This window comes from Homo sapiens, chromosome 1, assembly GCF_000001405.40.
Source record: "Homo sapiens chromosome 1, GRCh38.p14 Primary Assembly".
In the NCBI taxonomy this organism is placed as follows: domain Eukaryota; kingdom Metazoa; phylum Chordata; class Mammalia; order Primates; family Hominidae; genus Homo; species Homo sapiens.
The window spans coordinates 202852782-202878281 of NC_000001.11; the positions used below are offsets into that span (position 1 = coordinate 202852782).

General features: G+C 48.2%; 2 pseudogenes across 1 annotated transcript, besides 2 other annotated features; one reads left to right on the plus strand and one right to left on the minus strand.

Moving 5' to 3' along the window:
• Positions 246–745: an enhancer, noted in NCBI's record as "H3K27ac hESC enhancer chr1:202822155-202822654 (GRCh37/hg19 assembly coordinates)". NCBI's record gives its function as "activates a minimal SCP1, AML or CMV promoter by ChIP-STARR-seq in naive H9 embryonic stem cells {active_cell/tissue: H9 hESC(naive)}" and the evidence as "EXISTENCE:reporter gene assay evidence [ECO:0000049][PMID:30033119]".
• TUBA5P (tubulin alpha 5, pseudogene) lies at positions 2762–3378 on the minus strand (annotated as a pseudogene).
• Positions 8867–8916: a silencer, noted in NCBI's record as "silent region_1708". NCBI's record gives its function as "represses an Ori minimal core promoter by ATAC-STARR-seq in GM12878 lymphoblastoid cells {active_cell/tissue: GM12878}" and the evidence as "EXISTENCE:reporter gene assay evidence [ECO:0000049][PMID:35858748]".
• On the plus strand, positions 8973–22460 carry ACTG1P25 (actin gamma 1 pseudogene 25; annotated as a pseudogene). The gene is made up of 3 exons (NR_002929.2): positions 8973–9028; positions 19419–19498; positions 20276–22460. The product of NR_002929.2 is annotated as an actin gamma 1 pseudogene 25 (transcript).
• The last annotated feature ends 3040 nt before the right edge of the window (positions 22461–25500 follow it).

Here is a 25500-nt window from a genome sequence, read left to right on the forward strand (position 1 = left end):
CTAGCAGCAGAGGCCACCCTGCCCTTCAACTTAGAAAGACATTAAAGGAAGCTGAGAAGCTTAAAGATGGCCCACTGCCTGGGCAGAATTCCACAGAGTTCCACATCGCTTGCAATATCCATTGTATTTGTAGGGGGTCAGGGAACAGTGGAATGAGATACACACACAACTGTGGTGCGAGAGACCAGGTGTTACAGGTGCCAGGACCCCTAGAACTCCTCATGCTCATCCTCGCTGTCCAAAGATTCTGTGCCTACTTCATAATCCTTCTCCAGGGCAGCCAGGTCCTCTCAGGCCCAGAGAGCTCACCTTCCTCCATGCCCCTGTCCACATAACAGTGCATAAATGCCCGCTTGGCATACATCAGGTCAAACTTTTGGTTGAGGCGGGCCCAGGCCTCAGTGATGGCTGTGGTATTGTTTAGCACGCAGACTGCCCGCTGCACCTTGGCTACAGCACCCCCGGGCACCACTGTGGGGGACTGGTAGTTGATGCCAACCTAAGAAAAAACAAAGAAGTATAAGCGCCTGGTTCTGTGTTTCCTGGAAGGGTCTGTACAGGGATCCCTGGAACTAGGGAAGGGGCATTTGTCAACTTGTAAGAAACAAAGAGGAAGATGATCACCACCACAAGGAAACAAACAAGTCTAGAATGAGGGAGCTTCTGCAAGACAAGACTAGTGCCTTCAAAGTCAGTCAAGAAAAAGGGGGCCGGATGCGGTGGCTCACGCCTGTAATCCCAGCACTTTGGGAGGCCGAGGCGGGTGGATCACCTGAGGTCATGAGTTTGAGACCAGCCTAGCCAACATGGTGAAACCCTGTCTCTACTAAAAATACAAAAAATAGCCGGGTGTGGTGGCGGGCGCCTATAGTCCCAGCTACTCGGGAGGCTGGGGCAGGAGAATTGCTTAAACCCAGGAGGCGGAGGTTGCAGTGAGCTGAGATCACGCCACTGCACTCCAGCCTGGGTGACAGAGTGAAGCTCCGTCTCAAAACAACAACAACAACAAAACAAAACAAAAAACAGGGTCTCGCTCTGTTGCTGAGGCTGGAGAGGGGGGTGCAATCATAGCTCACTGCAGCCTAAACCTCCTGGACCCAGGTGATCCTCCCACCTCAGCCTTCTGAGTAGCTAGAACTATAAGTACACACTAGCAAGACTGGCTAATTTTTTAAAATATTTTGTACAGATGGAGTCTCACATTGCCCAGGCTGGTCTCAAACTCCTGGGCTCAAGCCATCCTCCCACCTCTGCCTCCCAAAGTGCTGGATTACAGGCCTGAATCACTGCACCCAGCCCAGAATATATAATACATTTTAGTGTTTCTCATCCTCAAAAAAAAAAAAAAAAAAAAAAAGTCAACTTCCCATTAGTGTCTCTAGGGACAACAAGCTGACCATGTCCTAAAGGCAGCCTATTCTTCCCTTAAGCAGCTAAAGATCTTCCTAATATGGAGGCAGAAACAGTCTGTTTCCCAGATAGCCTACCCCTCATTTCCATTTCTGAGCTACAGGACAACTCTTCCACACTAGCAAGCAGCTATTATTCCTGCCTGTCCTCCTGTTGTGGTCATGTCCACAGCAGTGTCATGGGGCAGGAAAGCTATATATGTTTTCTTTTTTTATTTTTATTTTTTTGAGACGGAGTCTTGCTCTGTTGCCCAGGCTGGAGTGCAGTGGCGCGATGTTGGCTCACTGCAAGCTCCGCCTCCCGGGTTCACGCCATTCTCCTGCCTCAGCCTCCCCAACAGCTGGGACTACAGGGGCATGCCGCCATGCCCAGCTAATTTTTTTTGTATTTTTAGTAGAGACGGGGTTTCACCGTGTCAGCCAGGATGGTCTCGATCATCTCCTGACCTTGTGATCCGGACACCTCGGCCTCCCAAAGTGAGCCACTGCGCCCAGCCGCTATATATGTTTTCTAATGCCACAGCTGCCATCTTTAATCTTTCTGGAGTCTTATCCCACAACAAAACCCAAAAAACAAACTAGGTCATATGCCCAGCACCCTGGGAAGGTCAACTGATAACAGGGTGGGGCATAAATGCGTGCTTCTTCCTTATTACCGCAAAAGGAAGAGAACGCATCCAGACGCAGAACACAAGAAGCCTCTGACCTTCTGATCCGCACTTTCCCCATCATCTGATAATGGGCCTCTCTGGCTTCTGAAAGCCTTCCCTTCTGAGCAGGAGCCTATAGCACGTGGTTATGTCCCTAGCACAAGTGACAAGGAGGCCATTCTCCCCATGTGACTGGCAGCCCTAGGGAACGCCTTTTTACCAGGCTAAGTAAGATGAAATTGATACTTTTCCTTTCATCAAGGCAATCTTTCAAGTAGAACCCACGCTGGCTTACAGTCCAAAGGCCTGGCTTCTAGACCAGCTGAGACCTATCCAGTTAAAGGAATCCTCTAGCGGGGCACAGTGGCTCACACCTGTAACACTTTGGGAGGCCATTGTAGGTGGATCACCCATGCGCAGGAGTCTGAGACCAGCCTGGGCAATATGGTGAAGCCCCACCTCTCCAAAAAAATACAAAGTTAGCAGGGTGTGGTGGCACAAACCTGTGGTCCCAGCTACTGAGGAGGCTGAGACAGGAGGACTGCTTGAGTGCAGGAGGTCGAGGCTGCAGTGAGCCAAGATGACGCCAGTGTACTCCAGCCTGGGTGACAGTGAGATCCTGTGCATTTGTTCCTCACACCTCCTCTGCAGGAAGCTCCCGTCTTAGCAGGTACACAGGCCATGTGCTAACTGCCCTTTACCCCCACTTGCCTTGAAACCTGTGGGACACGTCCGCAAAACAAATATTTGCTTGGTTTTAATGGTGGCAATGGTGGCATTCTCGTCCTTGGGCACCACTTCTCCACAGTAGAGCAGGCAGCAGGCCATGTACTTGCCGTGGCGAGGGTCACACTTGGCCATCTGATTGGAGGGCTCAAAGTAGACACTGGAGATCTCTGCCACTGAGAGCTGCTCATGGTAGGCCTTCTTAGCTGAGATAATGGGTGAGTAGGTCACCAGGGGAAAGTGGATGCGAGGGTAGGGCACCAGATTGGTCTGGAACTCTGTGAGGTCCACGTTGAGGGCACCATCAAAACACAAGGAAGCAGTGATGGAGGACACAATCTGGCTGATGAGCCAGTTCAGGTTGGTATAGGTAGGGCGCAGGTTGTGGCAGCAGAGATCATAGATGGCCTCGTCTACCATGAAGGCAGTCTGAGTGCTCCAGGGTGGTGTGGGTGGTCAAGATAGAGTTATAGGGTTCTACAACTGTCATGGACACTTGGGGGACTGGGTAGATAGCAAATTCCAACTTGAGCCAGTGCCATCCCCAAAACTATGGAAGATCAGGAAGCCCTGAAGCATGGTGCACTGGTCTGTCTGGAGCAGGCAATAACATCATTAAGGATGTAGATGGCATGTCACCCGTCCCAACCCTCTTCTCCTGAGGAAGCTTCTGTGTTGAAAGCTACTATTACCTAACTATACTTGCATTCACTTCTGTATTTTAGAAAGACTTTGAAGTATAGTTTATACTTAAGTGTGTGCATCTTTTGGACATACAATGAATGATTTGACATGCGTAGACACCTATATAACCAAACCAACAGAGATACAGAAATTCCCATCACCCCGAGAAAGTTCCTTTGTGTCCTTTTGCTTCGCCTCCATAGAGGTGAAAAAAGATCACCTGTCCAGGTGTGGTGGTTCACACCTGTAATCCCAGCACTTTGGCGTACCAAAGTGCTGGGATGGCAACACCCCATCTCTACAAAAAAATACAAAAAGTATCTGGGTGTTGTGGTGTGCACCTGTAGTCCCAGCTACTCAGGAGGCTGAGGCGGGAGGACCACTTGAACCCAGGAGGTAGAGGTTGCAGTGAGCTGTGACTGCACCACTAGTGGCATTCCAGCCTAGGCGACAGAGCAACTCTCTCAAAAAAGAAAAAAAAAAAAAAGATCACCTACAGGAGGTTTGGAGTTCCTAGGGAAAAGATGACTTGGAAAGGCAGTGTTGTGCATACGCAATGGTAGGGATGAGGAAGGACGGATGATTTGCACTCAGAGAGCCAGGCCCTCTCTGTTTTGTTGCCCTGCCCCCTAGTTACAGCAGAGTGGGAGTGGTGGTGGCATCCTGTTGAACATACAGATTACCAGGCCTCACCTCAGACTGGAACCCAGGAACCTGCAGCTTTAAAAAGTACCCCATGTGATGCTGATACAGCTGTTTCTTGGGTAAGAAAATCATCAGTCTATACCAGACACATGGTAGTGACAGTATAAAAGAAGTCTACCCCTAGGAGGTATTTTATTTTCATTCTTGAGGAAGGGAGCACAGAATCCTACTCCTCAGGTCACTTCCAAGTCCTCAGTCTCTACCGAGCAGCAGAGAGTATGTCTAGGCAATCCCCCTACAGCAACAGGGCCAAAGTCCTGGCTCACAGGCAGCCTCACTGGTGGTTCTCAATGCCTCGGATAGGGGAAGGGTGAACTGGTGAAATGGTTGAGTGCTAAACAGGAGCCCCTCCCACCTGGACAGATCTGCATAGGAGTCTAAGAACAACAAGCTGAGCTGCTGTAGAGATGGATCAAAGGTCAAAGAAGGCTTGGATCAGACAGACCTGGCAAAGCGAGGAACCATCAGGGCAGAAGCTTGAGTCCACAAACTCAAGGCAGAGCAGTTTATTCAGGCTTCCAACCCTAGATCCGTACCCAGGACAGAAAACACATATCCCCTTAAGAGAAGCTGAGTGGACTGACAGGCTGGAGGAATGATGTCAGGTACCAGCACAGGCTGTGGTTGCCTCCCAGCCAGGAAGAGGGTTAAGGATGCAACGACCTCCTGTAGGTGCCAGAGGCCTGCTCACCAGTTTTCAGATTCACTCCAGCACCAAATCGATGATCTCCTTCCCCGCAGTGTAGTGGCCACGGGCACAGTTGTTGGCAGCATCTTCCACGCCAGATATCAGCTGTTCAGGGTGGAACAGCTGCCTATAAATGTCAGTTCTTACCCCATCTTGAGGGGAAGAAAGGACAAAGGTAAGACAAGCTGGTTCATTCCCCAAGGGAACGCCAGACACCAGAACCTTTGCTGCTAAGCCTCCCCAGGTACAACTGCTCAACAGAGTGATGATGCACGGCATCTTCTTTTTCTTTTCTTTCTTTTTTTTTTTTTGAGACAGAGTTTCACTCTTGTTGCCCAGGCTGGAGTGCAATCACGCGATCTTGGCTCACCACAGCCTCTGTCTCCCGGGTTCAAGCGATTCTCCTGCCTCAGCCTCCCGACCAGAGACCCACTTCTAAGGCCAGGTCCTGCCTGGGCTTGAGACGGGGAGAGCAGGTGGCACCTTCAGTGGTCCCTTCCCTCTACAGCGACTTCATTGTGCTAGGTGAGGAATCAGAGTGGTGTTAAGGAGAATCTCACTTCACTTTCGAATAGGGTAAGAATACAGACTAATGTAAATTTTCACCATGGAAAAAGAAAAGAAAAAAAAAAGAATACAGACTAATGAAGAAACCCAGTGCACCATTTAACATCTAAAATAACAGCTTTAAAAAATGGAGGAGGGGTAGAATTGTCACGATTAGAAAACAGAGGAGATCCAGATGCAGAAGGGAGGAAGCAGGAAAGCCTCCGGAAGCCAGCAACAGCCAAGTTCACATAGGCCCACATCCTACGTGGGGGGGGCCTATTTCAGTTAAGGCTAAGCAGGAGGCCAGTATGAATGTTCTTGGCTCCCTGCTTCTTACGCAATGGGCCACCCTCAAGAGTCTGAGGACAGGGAAAAGCAAGTTTTAAATTTCTGCTTTTACATCTGCTCCTTTCTGCAGTCTGCGTTCTAGGCCTGATCCCTGACTCCTATCTGGCAGTTTCCTGGCAGAGTTGTGCGAATGATCTTCCTCTCAATATAGGAAGCCCCCAGGACCTCTTCTGAGGACAGAGTCTAGACAAAAGCAATAGACTTCAGACTTCAATGCTGTTCATGGCAGGGGACTGCTTCCATCTCAAGTATTTTCCCCTTAAGCAGAGCTCCCATCTGACATTGGCGCTAGCAAAAACTATGGCCTGGGGGAAGGAGCCCCCACTCCTCCGTCCACTCACCTATGACAGCAGGCTCCAGGTCCACAGACAGCCCAGGACACATGCCTGCCAGGCTGGGTCTCCCTGAAGAAGGTGTTGAAGGAGTTATCACTGCTCCCCAGGGCCTTGTGGCTGGGCATGGTGCCACTGGGCTGGATGTCGTGCTCCAGGCAGTACAGCTCCCAGCAGGCATTGCCCATCTGCACTCCGGCCTGGCCCACATGGATGGAGATGCACTCACACTGTGAGGGTGAGCAGAGGAATATGCCAGGGCATGAGTGGTGTGGAGTGAAAAGGTGGGGACTTGAAAAGCCTTCCCTGGGAGCACCCCTTGTCTTTCCTCCCTAAAGGCTGAAGCTTAGTGTTACCTAGTCCAAAGTTCAGACGACTGGCCGGGTGCAGTGGCTCATACCTATAATCCCAGCACTCTGGGAGGCCACGGCAGGCAGATCACCTGAGGTCAGGAGTTCGAGATCATCCTGGCCAACACAGTGAAACCCCACCTCTACTAAAAATACAAAATTAGCCGGATGTGGTGGTGGGCGCCTGTAGTCCCAGCTACTCAGGAGGCTGAGGCAGGAGAATCACTTGAACCCGGGAGGCAGAGGTTGCAGTGAGCCGAGATCACAACACTGCACTACAGCCTAGGCGAGAGAGCAAGACTCCATCTCAAAAAACAAACCAAAAAACCAAAGTCCAGAAGACTCGGTTCTCTTTCCAAGCCTTCCCATACTTTAAGCCAAACCACCTTCAGGCCCTCATTTTCCTTCATTCACTCAGAGCTTAAGAAGGTGGTTATGCCTAGGTCTCTGGGGCAGGAACTAGAGAAAGCCAAAACCAAATAGCCAAATCCCACTGCACAGTGTCCTCCCTGCTGTTTGGGGTGCCTTGGGAAAGCTCAGAGTCCTGTATTCCAAGACAGGCCCACCAAGAGCTTCTAGATTCAAGCACTGGGGCCTAGAAGAGGAGGTCTCCCATGGGCAGCAACTGTCTCCCCCACATCCCAAAAGGGCAGAAGACTAAGTTCAGACCTGTGGATCAACTGAGGAAGCAGCCTTGGAGTTAGAGCTAGCCTTCTGAAAGCTCACCCACAAACTCCCCTTTTGGGGGGACAGGCACCTACTCTAGACACCTGTCCCTGCCAACTGCAGTACAGGCAAGCTAATCCAAGTCAGTACTCCTAAATTAAGCGTCGCAGCGGAGACCAGAAGACCCACCCTACCTTTCGACTCTTTTCACTCAGGTAACTCCTATGATGGATAAACCCTTCCTCCCTTCTTCTGGTCCTTCACCCAACCCACGGTCTAGGGGGTCAATTTAAAAGGGCCGAGCACCTCCCAGATGTAGAAGGGATCTTCTAGGGTGACAGTAGGCAACAGTTTAACAGTCTTAGGAACTACCCTCTAAGACAGCCTCAGAGCCTTTAAGGGGGCTCAGAGCACAGGCAGGGATCAAGAGGTTTCCGGGGGGTACAGGGACCTCTGTGTACCCACCCCAAGTTCTCAGGCTTTTTTTTTTTTTTTTTTTTGCTTTGATTTCTTTGAGACCGAGTTTCGCTCTTGTTGCCCAGGCTAGAGTGCAATGGCGGGATTTCCGCTCAACGCAACCCCAGCCTCCCAGGTTCAAGCGATTCTCCTGCCTCAGCCTCCCGAGTAGCTGGGACTACAGGCATGCGCCACCACGGCTGGCCAATTTTGTATTTTTAGTAGAGACGGGTTTCTCCATGTTGGTCAGGCTGGTCTCGAACTCCCGACCTCAGGTGGTCCGCCCGCTTCGGCCTCCCAAAGTGCTGGGATTATAGGCGTGAGCCACCGCGCCTGGCCAGTCAAGTTCTCAGTTTTAACAGAGGGACCTCAAGTCCTTGGGCACCAAACAGGAGAAAAGTGGAGTCAAGAACATTCTTTTCAAGGCCCCAAGAGCTTACAGGAATCCCTAGTCAAGTATGGGGCCAAAGGGCGAGGACCTCTACCTCTGGCCAGAGTCGGGCGCCCAAGACAAAGACATTCAGGGGAACAGGTTTTGAACTGGAGAAACCTGTTAGAGCTTCCCAATCATCCTGGACCTTGCCTCCTGCGCGGCAATGTGATCTCAGAGGGAGGCGGGGACCGCAGCTACAAGCGGGCACCTCTTTGTCCAGGACCGCAGCGGGAGAAATACGGGGCGGGCCCTAGATCCCCTCCAGGCTCCAGAGCGCGCTCTGCCGCAGAGCCGACTCCGCTGCCCGACCTTGAGCGCAGCGCACAAACGACCCCACCATGTTCTCGCCCACGCTTTACCGCTCGCCAGCCTCCCTAGTCCCTCAGCGCTTCTGGGGCGCTCAGAACGTTTCTAGCTCGCACCGCCTCCCGTAGGGGAAGCAGGGTAGAAAAGTGGTGCCGGGACTCCTCGGGCGTCCCCGGGCTTTCTGCAGAGCCCACCTTCGCCCTGAACGCCCAAACACCCCTGGCATCCCCGCGCAGCCCACCCCACACCCTGGACTGCCGGGGCGCCCTTCCGTTTTGCGCTGCGGGCCCTTCCCACCGACCCCCCGTGCGCCCCCGGCATCCTCCCCATCGTGCGACACCCTCCCCCGCACAGCATCCTTCACCATGGTTGATCCAGTAGTTGAAGTTGGAGGGTCGCTGACTGCAGACACCATACGGGTCTCCAGCAACACCACGAATCCCAACGCGCGGTTGCTGGCGGGACCTTATAAATCCCCGGAGAGCCGCCGGTTGTGTCTCCTGGCGGGGACTCCCATTGGGTCGCAGCTGGACAGAGATCGGATCGTCCCCCGCGCGACTCTCACTGGGCCAGGCCCCCACCGAGGCCCGCCCCTCTCTCCGCTATTGGCCAGCCGCTTACGAAACAGCCCCGCCGCAGCGGTCATTGGGCAGTTGGTAAAGCCAAAGGGAGGCAGAGTCGGGCGTCCGCGTCCTCCCGGCCAGCTCGACCGTCTTCTCTATTGGGGTGAGTGCTGGGTCTACGAGGTGGAATCTTTGGGGGAAACACCCTCATTCTGTTTTAGTTTTAGGACTTTGCACCAGTGACACCGCTGACCTGATTCGAAAAGTGTGTCGGCCTTGGAGAAGGGTGCATACTTAAGTTCAGCAACCACTGCAGAAGGAAAGATGCTGTGATGAGAACCGACTGCTGGGAGTTTCCAGAGCGGGACAAAATGCGGCTGGGGTGGGTAGGATAGGCAAACAGGCATGGGAAAGGACATTGCAGGCGCCGGTAGTTGACGTTTACTTCCCTTTTGACCGGAGCAACTGCTCAGGTTCAGGTGACTCGGGTTCCTGCAAGAGCAAGGGGTCCGGGCTGGCCAAAGCAGACTGAGGAGGGCCTGTAGGGTGGAGGTGAAAAGGAGGCGTGGGGCCTTCAATGCTAGGCTGGAGAGCTTGCATATAATTTCCCTGGCATATAATTTCAAACCATCGAGGGGTTTTGAGCAGAGGAGTGATGTGATCACTGCAGCATTCTGAGCAGTACTTAGATGTTACTTGTGCATTATTTTTTTCCAGTGGTGGTTTCATATTGTTCCATGCTAAAGAGCATTCACATACTTTTCCCTTTTTCCAAACTTTTCCTTAGCTGAGACGTTTTACTTCGAAATATCTAAGTGTAACAAATTAGCTCCTTTCTTTTTGGGAGGGTTAATTGGTGTTTGGTTTATCAAATGATTGGCCACCCCGCCCAGTGATTACCCTTAGTATTTGTGAGGCACATTCCGGAGGAACCCAAAGCATCGCCATCTCCTCTTCATCCCCACTTCCCAGTGGACAGGTGATTGCATCCAGTTTGTATAGAATCAGGCTTGGAGACTTGAATTACCTGAGGAAAATCTGCAGCTGATATGACTTTCTGCTGATAGAACTCAGGAAGACCCTGTCACTGGCCATTGTGACATCAGACCAGCTGTCCCCTGGATGCCTGCACCCATTTTTACACAAGACTCTAGCCATGTCATTCAAAACTTTCCTGAAATGTTTTGAAACGAAATGCTTGGTCAGGTGACTCAAGAAGGTTTAAGTCCAGAGTGCAGAGGTTAACTTCAAAGTCTGTAAAGTATTCTTTGGTCTCAATCCTTGTTAATGGGCTTCATGAGGCTGCCAGCTCTAAAGTAGACGCCTCTGGTTAGGGGATAAGGTGAGAGAATGTGGGCAAACATCCAAATAAGTGCTTTGAAACCTCATGTATATAGAGTTAAGACACGGCTATTCATTGGCTGTCACTACCCCTAGCAAAACAACTCAAATGTTGCATTTGAGTTGTTGCCTTCGACTGAAGGCAGGCCTATCAATGATTAAAATAAAGCTACCTAGTAATAAACTCAAAACATCATAAACTCAACACTATCATCTCTTGCTTGCCTCACCTCATGAAGCACTCATTCCACCTGCTGGTAGAGTCAGCCAGTTAAAAATGTCTTTCCATTCCTGAGTTGACTCTAACCCAGGGATTATAAATACATTTGAAACAGTGACATTCAGTGTTATTTATGGAAGCTGCACAATCCCCCATCCCCGCCATTGGCAGTGCACTTCTTTACATCAAACTGATGAAAACTAATCCTCTTATAAGCTGTTTGGAGTTATTTCTATTATCCAGACTGCCTTCTATCTTAGAGTTTTATTTCTAACTTTTCCTCCTCCTCTACTCTATATCACCCTACTTAACTCCTTTGCCATTACAGGCACACCATTTTCACATACCTCTTCAGGAATTTAAAATATTCCAAAATTCAAAGAGTCTCATTGTTGCTGGAAAAAGGGGTCCAATCCAGACCCCAAGAGAGGGTTCTTGGATCTCACGCAGGAAGGAATTCAAGGCGAGTCACAGAGTGCACAGTAAGAGGTAGTTTATTGAAAGCTACTCAGTTACAGAGTAAGGTGTCCTTAGAAAGCAAGAGGAGGAACGTGCCATCCCTGTTTTAAACTCTTCTTATGTAGGGGTCTTAACCATGTTAAAGCTAAGTTATGTCTACATGCTGGTGGGCTGACAGCATGACAATTTAGGAGTTTGTTGATTGAAAGAAAGTTATCCTTGGCATTTGAGTGTGTAAGTACCTCAAAGCATGATTATAACTATCTTAAAACCATATATTATTACTCAATGTCAGGACATCTGGACATTCTGCTGTCATAGGAGTTTGTCCTCGCAGGCATTACTAAACTGCTCCCTTAGCCAAAACATCTTATGGCCACGGGTGGTGACTGGCAAGGAATATGCCTTGCTGGTTTTAGATGGAGTTGTTTTTTTTTTTTTTTTTGAGACAGAGTCTCGCTCTGTCACCCAGGCTGGAGTGCAGTGGCGTGATCTCGGCTCACTGCAAGCTCCGCCTCCCGGGTTCACGCCATTCTCCTGCCTCAGCCTCCTGAGCAGCTGAGACTACAGGCGCCCGCCACCACACCCAGAGAATTTTTTGTATTTTTAGTGGGGACGGGGTTTCACTGTGTTAGCCAGGATGGTCTTGATCTCCTGACCTCGTGATCCGCCCGCCTCAGCCTCCCAAAGTGCTGGGATTATAGGCGTGAGCCACCGTGCCCGGCCCCTAGATGGAATTGTTTTTTAAAATGGTATCAACCTGGCTCTCCTATGCTCCTATTTCCCTAACATAATCCTCGATTTATAAGAGATCTCTTAATCTTAAGGAGAGATGAGGTGTGAAGGTCATTCTTCTGTAACTTCTTCTTGCTGATTTTATGGGCATAAGATTGGAGAAGTAAAAATTATCTGTTTGCCCCATCTATGGGCCCAAAGGTGTCTTTATTTCCTGGGTCAGAAAATGGGATGGGCTGGAAGCCTTGTGCCAGCATTATGTAGAATTGTAATCTAGAAGACACAAACTTCACTAGGAGTTAAACAAGTAAGGTGCTAAGATTGGTAATAACCAGACAGCTATCAAAGGTCCTAAGAAGGGCAAAAAAAACAGTGAGACTCAGGAGGGAGCATCTTTTTGAGATGGAGTCTTGCTCTGTTGCCCAGGCTGGAGTGCAATGGCATGATCTCAGCTCACTGCAACCTCCACCTCCTGGGTTCAAGCAATTCTCTGCCTCAGCCTCCCAAGTAGCTGGGATCACAGGTGCCTGCACCACACCTGGCTGATTTTTTTTTTCAATCAATTTAGAAAGTTTATTTTGCCAAGGTTGAGCACACACTCATGACATGACACAGCCTCAGGAGGTTCTGACAACACGTGCTAAAGGTAGTCGGGGCACAGCTTGGTTTTATACATTTTGGGGAGACATGAGACATCAATCAATATGTGTAAGGTGTACACTGGTTCAGTCTGGAAAGGCGGGACAACTCGAAGTGGGGGCTTCCAGGTCATAGGTAGATAAGAGACAAAAGGCTGCATTCTTTTGGGTCTTTGATCAGCCTTTCACTGAATACACAATTTATATGGAGTGGGGAGTAAAGGAATAGTCACGCTGATGCCTTAGTCTGGCTCAGTGGATCTGCATTTTTGCATAAACAATAGGGCAGAAGAAGCAATCAGACGTTCATTTGTCTCAGGTGAGCAGAGGGATGACTTTGAGTTCTGTCCGTTGTCCTGCACCTGAGAACTGGGCAGCCTCGTCCTGAGCATGACGGAGAAGGGGACCTGGGGCTAGGGAATCCCTGATTCAATCATGCCACTCCCCAGGAGACGTTCGGAGCCCAGGACATGTCGGGAATGAGGAGATACGAGGTGGCCGATTTTTTGTATTTTTAGTAGAGACAGGGTTTCACCATGTTGGCCAGGCTGGTCTTGAACTCCTGATCTCAGGTGATCCACCTGCATTGGCCTCCCAAAGTGTTGGGATTACAGGCGTGGGCCACCATGCCTCGCCACAAGGGCACTTTTAATGGTTGATCAGTTAAGACATGGCCTGTCACTATTCATTGCCTGTCACTACCCCTAGCAAAACAACTCAAATGTTGCATCCAACTGAAGGCGGGCATATCAATGATTAAAATAAAGCTACCTAGTAATGAACTAGGGATTGATGTCTTGGTTATATTTATGCAACCAGGCAGTTTGTTCATATATTTTCTGTAGATCTTCTTCTATTTGACTGGAGGTGTTTACACGAGTGCAGCAGGGTTTATTGATTATAGTGCAAATACTCCCCCTTGTTCAACCAATAAGTAATGTAGTGCTAATCTATTATCCATTGCTATATTTGCTAAGGAATCAAGGAAGAGTTTTGATTTATCTAAAGCCTCCCCCATTTTATAAGACAGTCTGTAGAATGAAGTAAAGTTTTGAAGAGTTGTCTTGGGATAGGCAAATTTTCCCTACGGGGCCAATAAACCACTGGCAGCCCCAACTCCAGCCAATATAAGGCCAGCTGCCTGCTTAGCTCTCAGGTGAGTGATGTTATGTAATTATATATTAAAGAGCTTTGCTTGTTCTATTATACATTGACCCCCGAACCAAACATTATCAATACACTGTGTATCCATGGGTTTCCATGATCCCAAATGAGAGACAAGTTATTTATAGGCTGATTGAATGGATGACCACATAGCCACAGGTATAATCCGTTGGGGGTGCAAACCTGTATGGGATGGGAGTTGTTAAGAAGGTTGAGTACCTGTAGGAGGGACTGAGGATGTTACTTATCTCTTTCTTTGCAAAACAACAGCTTTAGATCTTCTAGGGGTTCACAAGTGTAGGTTGTGGTGTCTTTCTCAGGTGCCTGTGGGGACTTGTAAAAAACAGGTTTAATCTTGGACAGGTGTACTCAGCTAGTGAGTCCCCGAGGCTTAACAGCAGTGGGGGTGCCGTGCTTAACAATACTCCCCAATAAGGGCCCTTTCATTTTAGTTGTAATTGATTTTGGGGAGATCCTCCTTTCCAAGGTTTTTTTTTTTTTCTTTTTTTTTTTTTTAACAGAGTCTTCCTCTGTCACCCAGGCTGGAGTACAGTGGCATGATCTTGGTTCACTGCCACCTCCATCTCCCAGTGCAAATGATTCTCCTGCCTCAGCCTCCTGAGTAGCTGGGATGACAGGTACCCACCACCACACCTGGCTAATTTTTGTATTTTGAGTAGAGACGGGGTTTTGCCATGTTGGCCAGGCTGGTCTTGAACTCCTGACCTCAGGTGATGCACCCACCTCAGCCTCCCAAAGTGCTAGGATTACAGGCGTGAGCCACTGTGCCCAGCCTTCTTTCCAAGTTTTTAATAAGACTAAGTCTCCTGGTTGAATAGGGGAGCTACGAATATTTATGGCAGTGGCCTGCCTGACACAGGTATATTGAACAAACATGCATGTAACATATGACTCTGTTTACGTTGCGGTGAAGACTTAACCCCACACCTGGTCATAGATCCTGTTTATAGTTTGATATCTTATTGCCATAAATAATCTGTTCTGTAAGTTTTATGATTTCTATTTTAATGTTAATGCTGGCCAGTTGTATCTGAATCCCAAGAGGGGAAATGTGTAGTGAGGTATGTCTGACCCCCAGCTTCCCATCATAACCTGAACTAGTTTTTCAGGGTATTTTTTTTTTCTTTGAGATGGAGTCTTGCTCTGTTACCCAGGCTGGAGTGCGGTGGTGTGATCTCAGCTCACTGCAAGCTCCACCTCCTGGGTTCACGCCATTCTCCTGCCTCAGCCTCCTGAATAGCTGGGACTACAGGCGCCCGCCACCACGCCCGGCTAATTTTTTGTATTTTTAGTAGAGACCGGGTTTCGCCATGTTAACCAGGGTGGTCTCGATCTCCTGACCTCGTGATCCACCCGCCTCGGCCTCCCAAAGTGCTGGGATTACACGTGTGAGCCACCACACCTGGCCTTTTTCAGGGTATTTTTAAAATTCTCTTTGGCCAAGAGGGGGGTCTGCTCTGTTGGGGGGCTTAGGGTTTTATTTTTTAGTTTATATTCCTCCTTTTTTGTCAAGGTATGCCAGAGGCAGTATTAAAAAATGAACCAGGCTGGGCACAGTGGCTCATGCCTCTAATCCCAGCATTTTGGGAGGCTGAGGCAGGTGGATTACCTGAGGTCAGGAGTTTGAAACCAGCCTGACCAACATGGTGAAACCCCGTCTCTACTAAAAATACAAAATTAGCTGGGTGTGGTGGCGCATGCCTGTAAGCCCAGCTACTAGGGAGGCTGAAGCAGGAGAATCACTTGAACCCAGGAGACGGAGGTTGCAGTGAGCCAAGATCACACCATTGCACTCTAGCCTGGGTAACAAGAACAAAACTCCATCTCAAAAAAAACAAAAAACAAAACAAAACAAAAAAACAAGAAAATAAAACTCCAAGAGTTTACGTTTTATCAAGATAATTCCTATGCTATGTTTATTAGGATTTTGGTTACTAAAAAAACTGAGATTTAAAGGGTTAAAGCTTTTTTTTTTTTTTTTTTTTTTTGACAGAGTCTCTCACTCTGTCCCCCAGGCTGGGGTGCAATGGCACGATCTCGGCTCACTGCAACCTCTGCCTCCTGGATTCAAGCTATTCTCCTGCCTCAGCCTCCCGAGTAGCTGGGACTACAGGCACGTGCCACCACTCCCGGCTAATTTTTGTATTTTTAGTGCAGATGGGGTTTCACCATGTTGGCCAGGCTGGTCTTGAACTCCTGACCTCAGGTGATCTGCCTGCCTCGGCTTCCCAAAGTGCTGGGATTACAGGTGTGAGCCACCATGCCCGGCTACCTTTTTTTATATAAAATTATCCTCTTTATAACTTGCCTTACCAAAAATACATCTTCATTTCCAAAACTTTCCTCATCTCTCTCCCCTATTTACTGGTTCCTTTCTACCTTTTTTCATAAGTAACCATTTTCTTTTCTTGAGATGGTGTTTCACTCTTGTTGCCTAGGCTGGAGTGCAATGGCACAATCTTGGCTCACCACAACCTCCACCTCCCGGGTTCAAGCGATTCTCCTGCCTCGGCCTCCCAAGTAGCTGGGATTATAGGCATGCACCACCACATCCAGCTAATTTTATATTTTTAGTAGAGATGGGGTTTCTCCATGTTGATCAGGCTGGTCTTGAACTCCCAACCTCAGGTGATCCATCCACCTTGGCCTCCCAAAGTGCTGGGATTACAGGCATGAGCCATCACGCCCAGCTTTTTTTTGTTTTCCCTGAGATGGAGTCTTGCTCTGTCGCCTAGGCTGTAGTGCAGTGGCATGATCTCGGCTCACTGCAACCTCTGCCTCCCGGGTTCAAGCGATTCTCCTGCCTCAGCCTCCTGAGTAGCTGGGATTACAGGCGCCTGCCACCATGCTCGGCTAAGTTTTGTGTTTTTAGTAGAGACGGCGTTTCACTATGTTGGCCAGGCTGGTCTCCAACCTGTGACCTCAGGTGATCCTCCTGCCTCGGACTCCCAAAGTATTGGGATTACAGGCATGAGCCACCGTGCCCAGCCATAAGTAACCTTTTTTTTTTTGAGTCGGAGTTTCGCTCTTGTTGCCCAAGCTGGAGTGCAATGGTGCGATCTCGGCTCACCACAACCTCCGCCTCCTGGGTTCAAGTGTCTGTCCTGCCTCAGCCTCCTGAGTAGCTGGGATTACAGACATGCGCCACCATGCCCAGCTAATTTTGTATTTTTAGTAGAGAGGGGGTTTCTCCATGTTGGTCAGGCTGGTCTTGAACCCTGACCTCAGGTGATCTGCCTGCCTTGGCCTCCCAAAGTGCTGGGATTACAGGTGTGAGCCACCACACCCAGCCAAGTAACCATTTTCTTCTTTTTTTCTTTTTCTTTCTTTTTTTTTTTTTTTGAGATGGAGTTTTGTTCTTGTTGCCCAGGCTGGAGTGCAATGGTGCCATCTCAGCTTACTGCAAACTCCGCCTCCCGGGTTCAAGCAATTCTCCTGCCTCAGCCTCCCGAGTAGCTGGGATTGCAGGCATGCGCCTCCACGCCCAGCTAATTTTGTATTTTTAGTAGAGACAGGGTTTCACCATGTTGGTCAGGCTGGTCTTGAACTTCTGACCTCAGGTGATCCGCTCACCTCAGCCTCCCAAAATGCTGGGTTACAGGCGTGAGCCACCGCGCCCAGCCCAAGTAACCATTTTCAAGTCCATAATTTGAATTGACCCTTAGATGGCTTCTGAATTAGACAACATTATTCTTTTTCTCAATAAGACTAGTTCTCAGGAGGCTTTTGCCCTCCAATGCCACCCAGAGAGATGCTGAATTAAACAACCCAAAGAATGAAAACCATCATGACCAGAAGGAAAATGACAGGCGTAAGCTTAGGGCATACAAGCCGAGGATCGCGTGTGTCACTAGCGAGGCATAGACAGCAAATATGCAGCTGAGAAAGGGGACAAGGGGGACTGAGAACCAATAGGTGCTGGCAAATATGCCTCTGAACCTCAATTTATCCAACAGCCCTGGGTAGGGGCCTCTAACCCCCAGTTCCCAGTGAATATAAAGAAACATGAGCATCCCATGACTCCTGGGGCTCAGAAGGCTCAGCAGGAAAAGGAACAACACAGGGAAGGGAAGGAACGCAAAGGGCACTCACTTGTCTGTGAATCTGAAAACTTAAGAAGCATTTTATAGAGAAAACCATTCCACAATCCTAGAAACATGTTTTTCCGTATCATAAACTTTTCTTAATTGGATATAACTCAGACATCCATCAAGTAATCCAAGGAAAGCTATGGACCAAAATTTTTGTTAAAGTTTTTATGGAAGTTTGGATTTTTTAGGGTTTGTGTTTGTTTGTTTGTTGTTGGTGGTGGTGTTTCTGAGATGGAGTCTCACTCTGTGGCCCAGGCTGGAGTGCAGTGGTGTGATCATGGCTCACTGCAACCTCCATCTCCCAGGCTTAAGCAATTCTCCTGCCTCAGCCTCCCGAGTAGCTGGGATTACAGACATGCACCACCATGTCAGGCTAATTTTTGTATTTTCAGTAGTGATGTGGTTTCACCATGTTGGCCAGGCTGGTCTCAAACTCCTGGCTTCAAGTGATCCACCCACTTTGACCTCCCAAAGTGCCGGGATTACAGGCGGTAGCCACCACACCCGGCTGGAAGTTTGGTTTTTAAGAAGCCTTTTTCACATTTTTTTTCTCAGTGTCAAATTATTCTCTAATGTTTCCATTTTATCTAGAACTGACTGAATTGTATAAGAAAAACAAAATCTCAGCCAGGTGCAGTGGCTCATGCCTGTAATGCCAGCAGTTTGTGCGCCTGTATTCCAAGCTATTTGGGAGGCTGAGGCAGGAGAATCGCTTGTACCCGGGAGGCAGAGGTTGCAGTGAGCTAAGATCACGCCACTGAACTCCAGCCTGGGTGACAAGAGCCAAACTCCGTCTCAAAAAAGAAAAGAAAAGAAAGTTATCCTTGGCATTTGAGTAAGTACATCAAAGCATAACTATAACTATTTTTAAAACATATATTGTTATGCAATATTGGGACAGCTGGACGTTCTGCTGTCATAGGAGTTTGTTCTTGCAGGCATTACTAAAACAGCTTCAAAACATCTTATGGCCATGGGTCGTGACTGGCAAGGAATGTGCCTTGCTGGTTTTAAGCTGGAGTTGATTTTAAAATGGTGTCACCCTGGCTTTCCATGCTCCTGTTTCCTTAACCCCATGGTCAACTCTAGTTTTAAAGCAATCCAAAGTATCCTGATAAACCTGCATCCTTTCTCTCTATATATCCTCCCCATCCTCCTCCACCACATAGCAATGAAGTGACACTGTGAATTGAAGTAACACCCATCAGTCTGGGCAAGGGAAGGATAAAAGAAGTTCGATGGAGAGGCTTTTATGGGAACAAGAATATCCTGTTAACCTAGTGGTGAAGAATCAAGGTAAACAGTGATAGACCAGGACTATGTTTCAGGATTTATTCTTGAGCCAGTGCCAAGACTGTACAGGCAGTACCTGGCTTTCAAACGGCGGAATTTCTTTCTTTCTTTTTAAATTTTATTTTGTTTCATTTTTTTGAGACTGAGTCTCGCTCTGCCACCCAGGCTGGAGTGCAATGGTGCGATCTCGGCTCACTGCAACCTCCGCCTCCCAGGTTCAAGCGAGTCTCCTGTCTCATCCTCCCAAGTAGCTGGGATTATAGGCACCCACCACCATGCCCAGCTAATTTTTTTGTATTTTTAGTAGAGACGGGGTTTCACCATGTTGGCCAGGCTGGTCTTGAACTCCTGACCTCAGGTGATCCATCCACCTCAGCCTCCCAAAGTGCTGGGATTACAGGTGTGAGCTACCTCGCTTGCCCTGGAATTTCTTACAAATACCTTAGAACAGTTGCCCAAGCTGAGTGTCGATATGAGCTTTCTTTTCTTACTGTCTTAGCTTGAAATTTATTTCCCCTTTGACTCAGGCAACTGCTCCCTAGGACAGAACCCCCAGTTTCCAGCCAATCCCTATTTTACATCTCATTTCAGGGCCCATTCAGGACACAGGGGAGAAGGGATGATGTATAAACCCATGGAGTTGCTCACTCTCCTCTTACCTCCTTGAGGCAGTAAGTGTTCCCAGCCCACATTCTATCTCCTCAGTAGTTTCCCTATCATTATGTAAGTCAGAGTTTATCCTGATCCCCAACTTGAAATAGACTGTCTGGGGTCACCAGGTTTGGATTGTGAAGGGACCCTGCCCTCACAGCAGCAGAGGCCTTGCTCCTGGCATTCAGCATTAGCATTGTTTGTTATGGTGCTGTGCTTCCGGTACACATATGGGCTTGTGTCATAGGTTAAAAACTACTCAACATCCATTGTTTCTCTCCAAGGCAAAATGCCTTCTAAGTTTCAACTGACTTCAGGTGAATTTGATGGTCACTCCTGCCACTTAACTCTAAATTCTGACACCTACAGATTCCAGGAATTTAATTTTCCAAACACAAGAAAATCTTGGTCTTAATTGAATGGTTGGTTAGCACATTAGCTGGGCGTGGCGGCACATGCCTGTAGTCTTAGCTACTCAGGAGGCTGAGGCACGAGAATCTCTTGAATCTGGGAGGTGGAGGTTGCAGTGAGTGGAGATCACGCCACTGCACTCAGCCTAGGCATCAGAGGGAGACTCTTTCTAAAAAAAAAAAAAAAGAAAAGAAAAAAAAAAAAAGGTTAGCACCTGCTGAGGTTAATATCTTTATTCCCTCACCCTCTGAAGACTTAGCCATGGTCACGACCACATTGAAATACTCTCTCACTAACCTGTATAACTGTTTTCACTGTCTTTTTCAAACAGCATTGAAAAAAAGTACAGTACCTGTTCTATTTTTTTTTTTTTTTTTTTGAAACAGAGTCTCTGGTACTCAGGCTGGAGTGCGGTGGTGTGATCTTGGCTCACTGTAAACTCAAGCTCCTGAACTCAAGCAATTCTCCTGCCTTGGCCTCCCAAAGTGCTGGGATTGCAGGTGTGAACTGCCACACCTGGCTCCCCGACTATTCCTGTATCAGAAATGTAACTCACCCACTCACCACCAGCCCACACTCTGGGTTCTCCTATCACTCCACTGCCTGCTCCTCGGCTGATCACAATGGAAGAAGAGATCATGGCACTTGTCATTGACAATGGCTCCAGCACATGCAAAGCTGGCTTTGCTGGGTATAGTTCCCCGAGCCATGTTCCCCTCCATCACTGGGTATCCCTGGCACCAGGGCATGATGGTGGGCATAGGCCAGAAGGACTCCTACCTGGGTGATGAGGCCCAGAGCAAGTGCAGCATCCTGACCCTGAAAGTGCCCCGTGGACCACCGCATCATCACCAACTGGGATGACATGGAGAAGATCTGGCACCACACCTTCTACGATTAGCTGCACGTGGCTCCCAAGGAGCACCCAGTGCTGCTGCCTGAGGCCCCGCTGAACCCCAGGGCCAACAGAAAGAAGATGACTCGGATTGAGACCTTCAACACCCCAGCAAGGTACACAGCCATCCAGGCTGTGCTGTCCCTGTACACCTCTGGTTACACCACTGGTATTATCATACACAGCTGAGACCCACACGGTGCCCGTCTACAAGGGCTATGCCTTCCCCCATGCCATCCTGCGTCTGGATGACTGGCACCTGACCAACCACCCCATGGAGATCTTCAGGGAGCCCAGCTACTGCTTCACCACCACAGCCAAACGGGAGATCTTGTGCAACATCAAGGAGAAGCTGCGGAAATGGCCACCACAGCGTCCTCCTCCTCCCTGGAGAAGATCTAGGAGCTGTCCAAGTGGTTCCAGTGTCTGGAGGCGCTGTTCCAGGCCTCCTTCCTGGGTATGGAATCTTGTGGCATCCACCAGGCCACCTTCAACTCCATAAAGTGTGATGTGCACATCCGCAAGGACCTGTTTGCCAACATGGTGCTGTCTGGTGACACCCCCGTGTACCTGGGCATCACCTACATGATGCAGAAGATCACGACCCTGGTGCCCAGCTCCAAGAAGATCATCACCTTCCCTGAGCGCAAGTCCTTGTGTGGATTGGCAGCACCATCCTGGCCGCCTTCCAGCAGATGTGGATCATCAAGCAGGAGTAGGATGAATCAAGCCCCTGCATCACCCACTGCAAATGCTTCTAAATGGACTGCAAGCAGACGCGTGTCATGTGCTTCATGGATTAATGCAGAAGTATAAATTTGCCCCTGGCAAATGCATACACCTCATGCTAGCCTCAATAAACCAGAATAAGCCTTTCAAAAGAACTGGTCCTTGAAGCTTGTATATCAGCACCGGATTGTAGAACTTGGTGCTGATTTTGACTTTGTTAACCGTTCCCTTGGTATTTGTTTAATACCCTGTACATATCTTTGATTTATACCCTTAGTACATGTGGCTCAGTAACTTCATGGCTGAGGTGAGGACATGCTTGTGGGAGGGAAGTCTGTGGCTTGGTGGGTCTGTGTGACCTGCAGTCTCCTTATCTGTGCAGGTACTAAGGTGTCAGAGAGCTCAGTGTTCCAGGATTTTCCTTTTTTTTTTTTTTTTTTGAGACAGAGTTTCGCTCTAGTTGCCCACACTAGAGTGCAATGGCGCAACCTCGGTTCACTACAACCTCCGCCTCCTGGGTCCAAGTGATTCTCCTGCTTCAGCCTCCCAAGTAGCTGGGATTACGGGCATGCGCCACCACACCCGGCTAATTTTGTATTTTTAGTAGAGACAGGGTTTCTCCATGTTGGTCAGGCTAGTCTCAAACTCCCGACCTTAGGTGATGCACTGTGCCCAGCCATTCCAGGATTTTTCTAGAGCCTGGCAAGAGCTCCTGAACCAGTTTCATTTCTGTCTTGCTGGTCTATTAGTGTTAAGTCTTGAGCTAGAAGCGGTTTACATTTACACCTGTAAATTTATTCATTCTTTTAATTTATGTAAGTTTTTTGTACATAATTCTCAATTTTTAAAGAGATGACCACAAATTTTGGTTTTCCACTGTTATTTACATAAGGAAAAATAAAGTGCTGCAGTAAACCAAAAAATAAATATAATTCGCTCTAACCTCTAGCTCCATTTTCAAAAGTCTGCATGAACTTCTTTAAATTAGTCCCATTAAAATGATAACACTACTCAGCAGAGTTTATTTTAAATTCTCTTCAAAACTATTTACTGAACTATTATAAATTTGTCAGACACTAGGCCATGCACCAAGAGCAAATAGGATATTCTGAGTCCTTATTCTTATGAAATTTATCATCCTTAGAAGTGAGGAAGTAGAGTCAGGCATTTAACTTTTTTTTTTTTTTTTGAGACGGAGTCTCACTCTGTCACCCAGGCTGGAGTGCAGTGGCGGGATCTCAGCTCACTGCAAGCTCCACTTCCCGGGTTCACGCCATTCTCCTGCCTCAGCCTCCTGAGTAGCTGGGACTACAGGCACCCGCCACTGTGCCCGGCTAATTTTTTGTATTTTTAGTAGAGAAGGGGTTTCACCGTGTTCTCTATCTCCTGACCTCATGATCCGCCTGCCTCGGCCTCCCAAAGTGCTGGGATTACAGGCATGAGCCACCACACCCTGCTATTAACTTTTAAATATGTATAAATTTAGGAGATAATGGAAATGAAATGCTATCTGATTTTGAAGGGAAGAACTGATGTTTAGAAAAGTGGGCTTTATATAGAACCACTACTTACATTCTTTTAAAAATCTTACTGTCACCAGGCATGGTGGCTCACACCTGTAATCCTGTAATCCCAGCATTTTGGGAGGTTGAAGCAGGAGGATCACTTGAGGCCAGGAGTTCCAGACCAGCCTGGGGAACACAGTGAGACCCCATCTCTCCAAAAAAAAAAAAAAAAAATAGCCAGGCATGTCAGCATGCACCTGTAGTCCCAGCTACTCACGAGGCTAAGAGGCAGGAGGATCATTTGAGCCTGGGAGTTCGAGGTTGCAGTGAGCCGCCATCGTGCCATTGCGCTCCAGCCTCGGTGACAGAGTGAGGCCCTGTCCCAAGAAAAATAAAAACCTTATTGTGAAAATACATGTTCAGAAAAGTACACAGAAGATGTACAGCTCACTTTATTACATAGCAACTATCAAGATTTTAAAATGTAGAACATTACTAGCATTGCAGAAGCTCTCCTCATGCCCCCTCCAAATCATTACTCCTACCTTTATCATAAATCAAGTGTCCTATATGCGTGGGTCTGTTTCTGAGCTCTTTTGTTCCATTAGTCTGTCTATCCTTGTGACAAGCTACACTGTCTGTCCAATAGAAAAATTCTCCCACCTTGTTTTTCTCCATGACTGTCTCGGCTACTCCTCGTCCTCTGCATTTTCATTTAACTTTTACAATCAGTTTGTTGAATTTCACACACACAAACTTGAGTTTTTGACTGGGATTTACTGAATTTATACATCAGTTTGAAGTTGAGATTGTTAACAGTATTAGGAGTTAACAAACTTTTTTCTTAAAGGGTTAGATAAGTATTCTAAGCTCTGTGGGCTGAGGCAGAATTGGAGATATTATATACTTACATAACCATTTACAAAACATAAAAATCGGCCAGGTGCGGTGGCTCACACCTGTAATTCCAGCACTTGTGGGAGTCCATGGTGGGAGGATCACTTGAGCCTAAGAGTTTGAGACCAGCCTGGACAACATGGCAAAACCCTGTCTCTACTAAAAATACAAATTAGCCGGGCGCACTGGCACATGCCTGTGTTCCCAGCTACTCAGGAGGCCGAGCTGGGAGGCTCGCCTGAGCCTGGGAGGTTGAGGCTGCAGTGAGCTGTGATTGTGCCACTGCACTCTAGGCTAGGTAACAGAGTTAAGATCCTGTCTCATAAAAAAAAAAGTAAAAACTATTTTTAGCTTGAAAGTTTCTGAGCCTCAATAGGTACTGGCTGAATGAATTTGGCCTGTGGGCTATAGTTTCCTGGCCCCATGAATTTGTTTTCTTTTACTTTCTCTCAGTAATGTCATATAAGGTTTTGTGTTGTGGTCTTACATATCTACTGTTAGTTATGTCTAACCCCTAGTTTTCTAGTTCTCTCCTCAGTTGTGCCTAAGCTGCTGTTAAAGCATTCCAGTGAACTTTAGAGACAGGGGCTCACTGTTGCCCAGGCTTGAGTATAGTGGCATCATCATAGCTCACTGAAGCTTCTAACTCCTGGGCTCAAGTGATCCTCTCACCTCAGCCTCAAAAGTAGCTGGGACTACAAGCAGGTGCCACCACACCCAGCTATTTTGTTTTTTGTGGAGACAGGGTCTCACTATGTTGCCCATGCTGGTTCCACTGTATTTTTTCTTTTGTTGAGACGGAATCTCTCCCTGTCCCAGGCTGGAGTGCAGTGGCACAATCTCGGCTCACTGCAACCTCCGCCTCCTGGGTTCAAGCGATTTTCCTGCCTCAGCCTTCGGAGTAGCTGGGATTGCAGGCGTGCACCACCATGCCTGGCTAATTTTTGCATTTTTAGTAGAGACAGGGTTTCACATTGGCCAGGCTGGTCTTGAACTCCTGACCTCATGATCCGCCGGCCTTGGCCTCCCAAAGTGCTGGGATTATGGGCATGAGCCACCATGCCCAATCAAGTTTCCACTGTATTCTTAATTTTGATTATTGGATTCTTACAAATTCTAGAATTTACTTTTTAAAAAAACATGTTCATGTAGCTGCTGAATTCCCAAACTAGTGTCTCTCCTTGAACATGGTAAGCAGTTATTTTAGTCTGATAGCACCGATGTCTCCAGCCACTGTGGGCCTGCTATCTTGTCTCACGTGCCTGGTTACATCTTGTTGTACTCAGGATATTGTATTAGCAAAATTGTAGAAAGAATCTGGGTTTAGGATAATAATAACATCCTCTAGAGAGGGGTTTTGTTTGCTTATCCAAAGAGTTTGGGCAAACTACCACTCTGGGATCACCTTAATCTAATTTCAAGGATTAAGATCCGTAATCGGAGGCTGGGCTGCAGTCCCGAGAGCCTGTTTCCTACACCGCCTCACCCTTATTCCTGGGGTGCAAAAGACTGAGGGCTTCAACCAAAAGTGAGTAACACCACCAAGTCCATCGCCCTTTCACAGGCCCCATCCCCTACTTCTGAA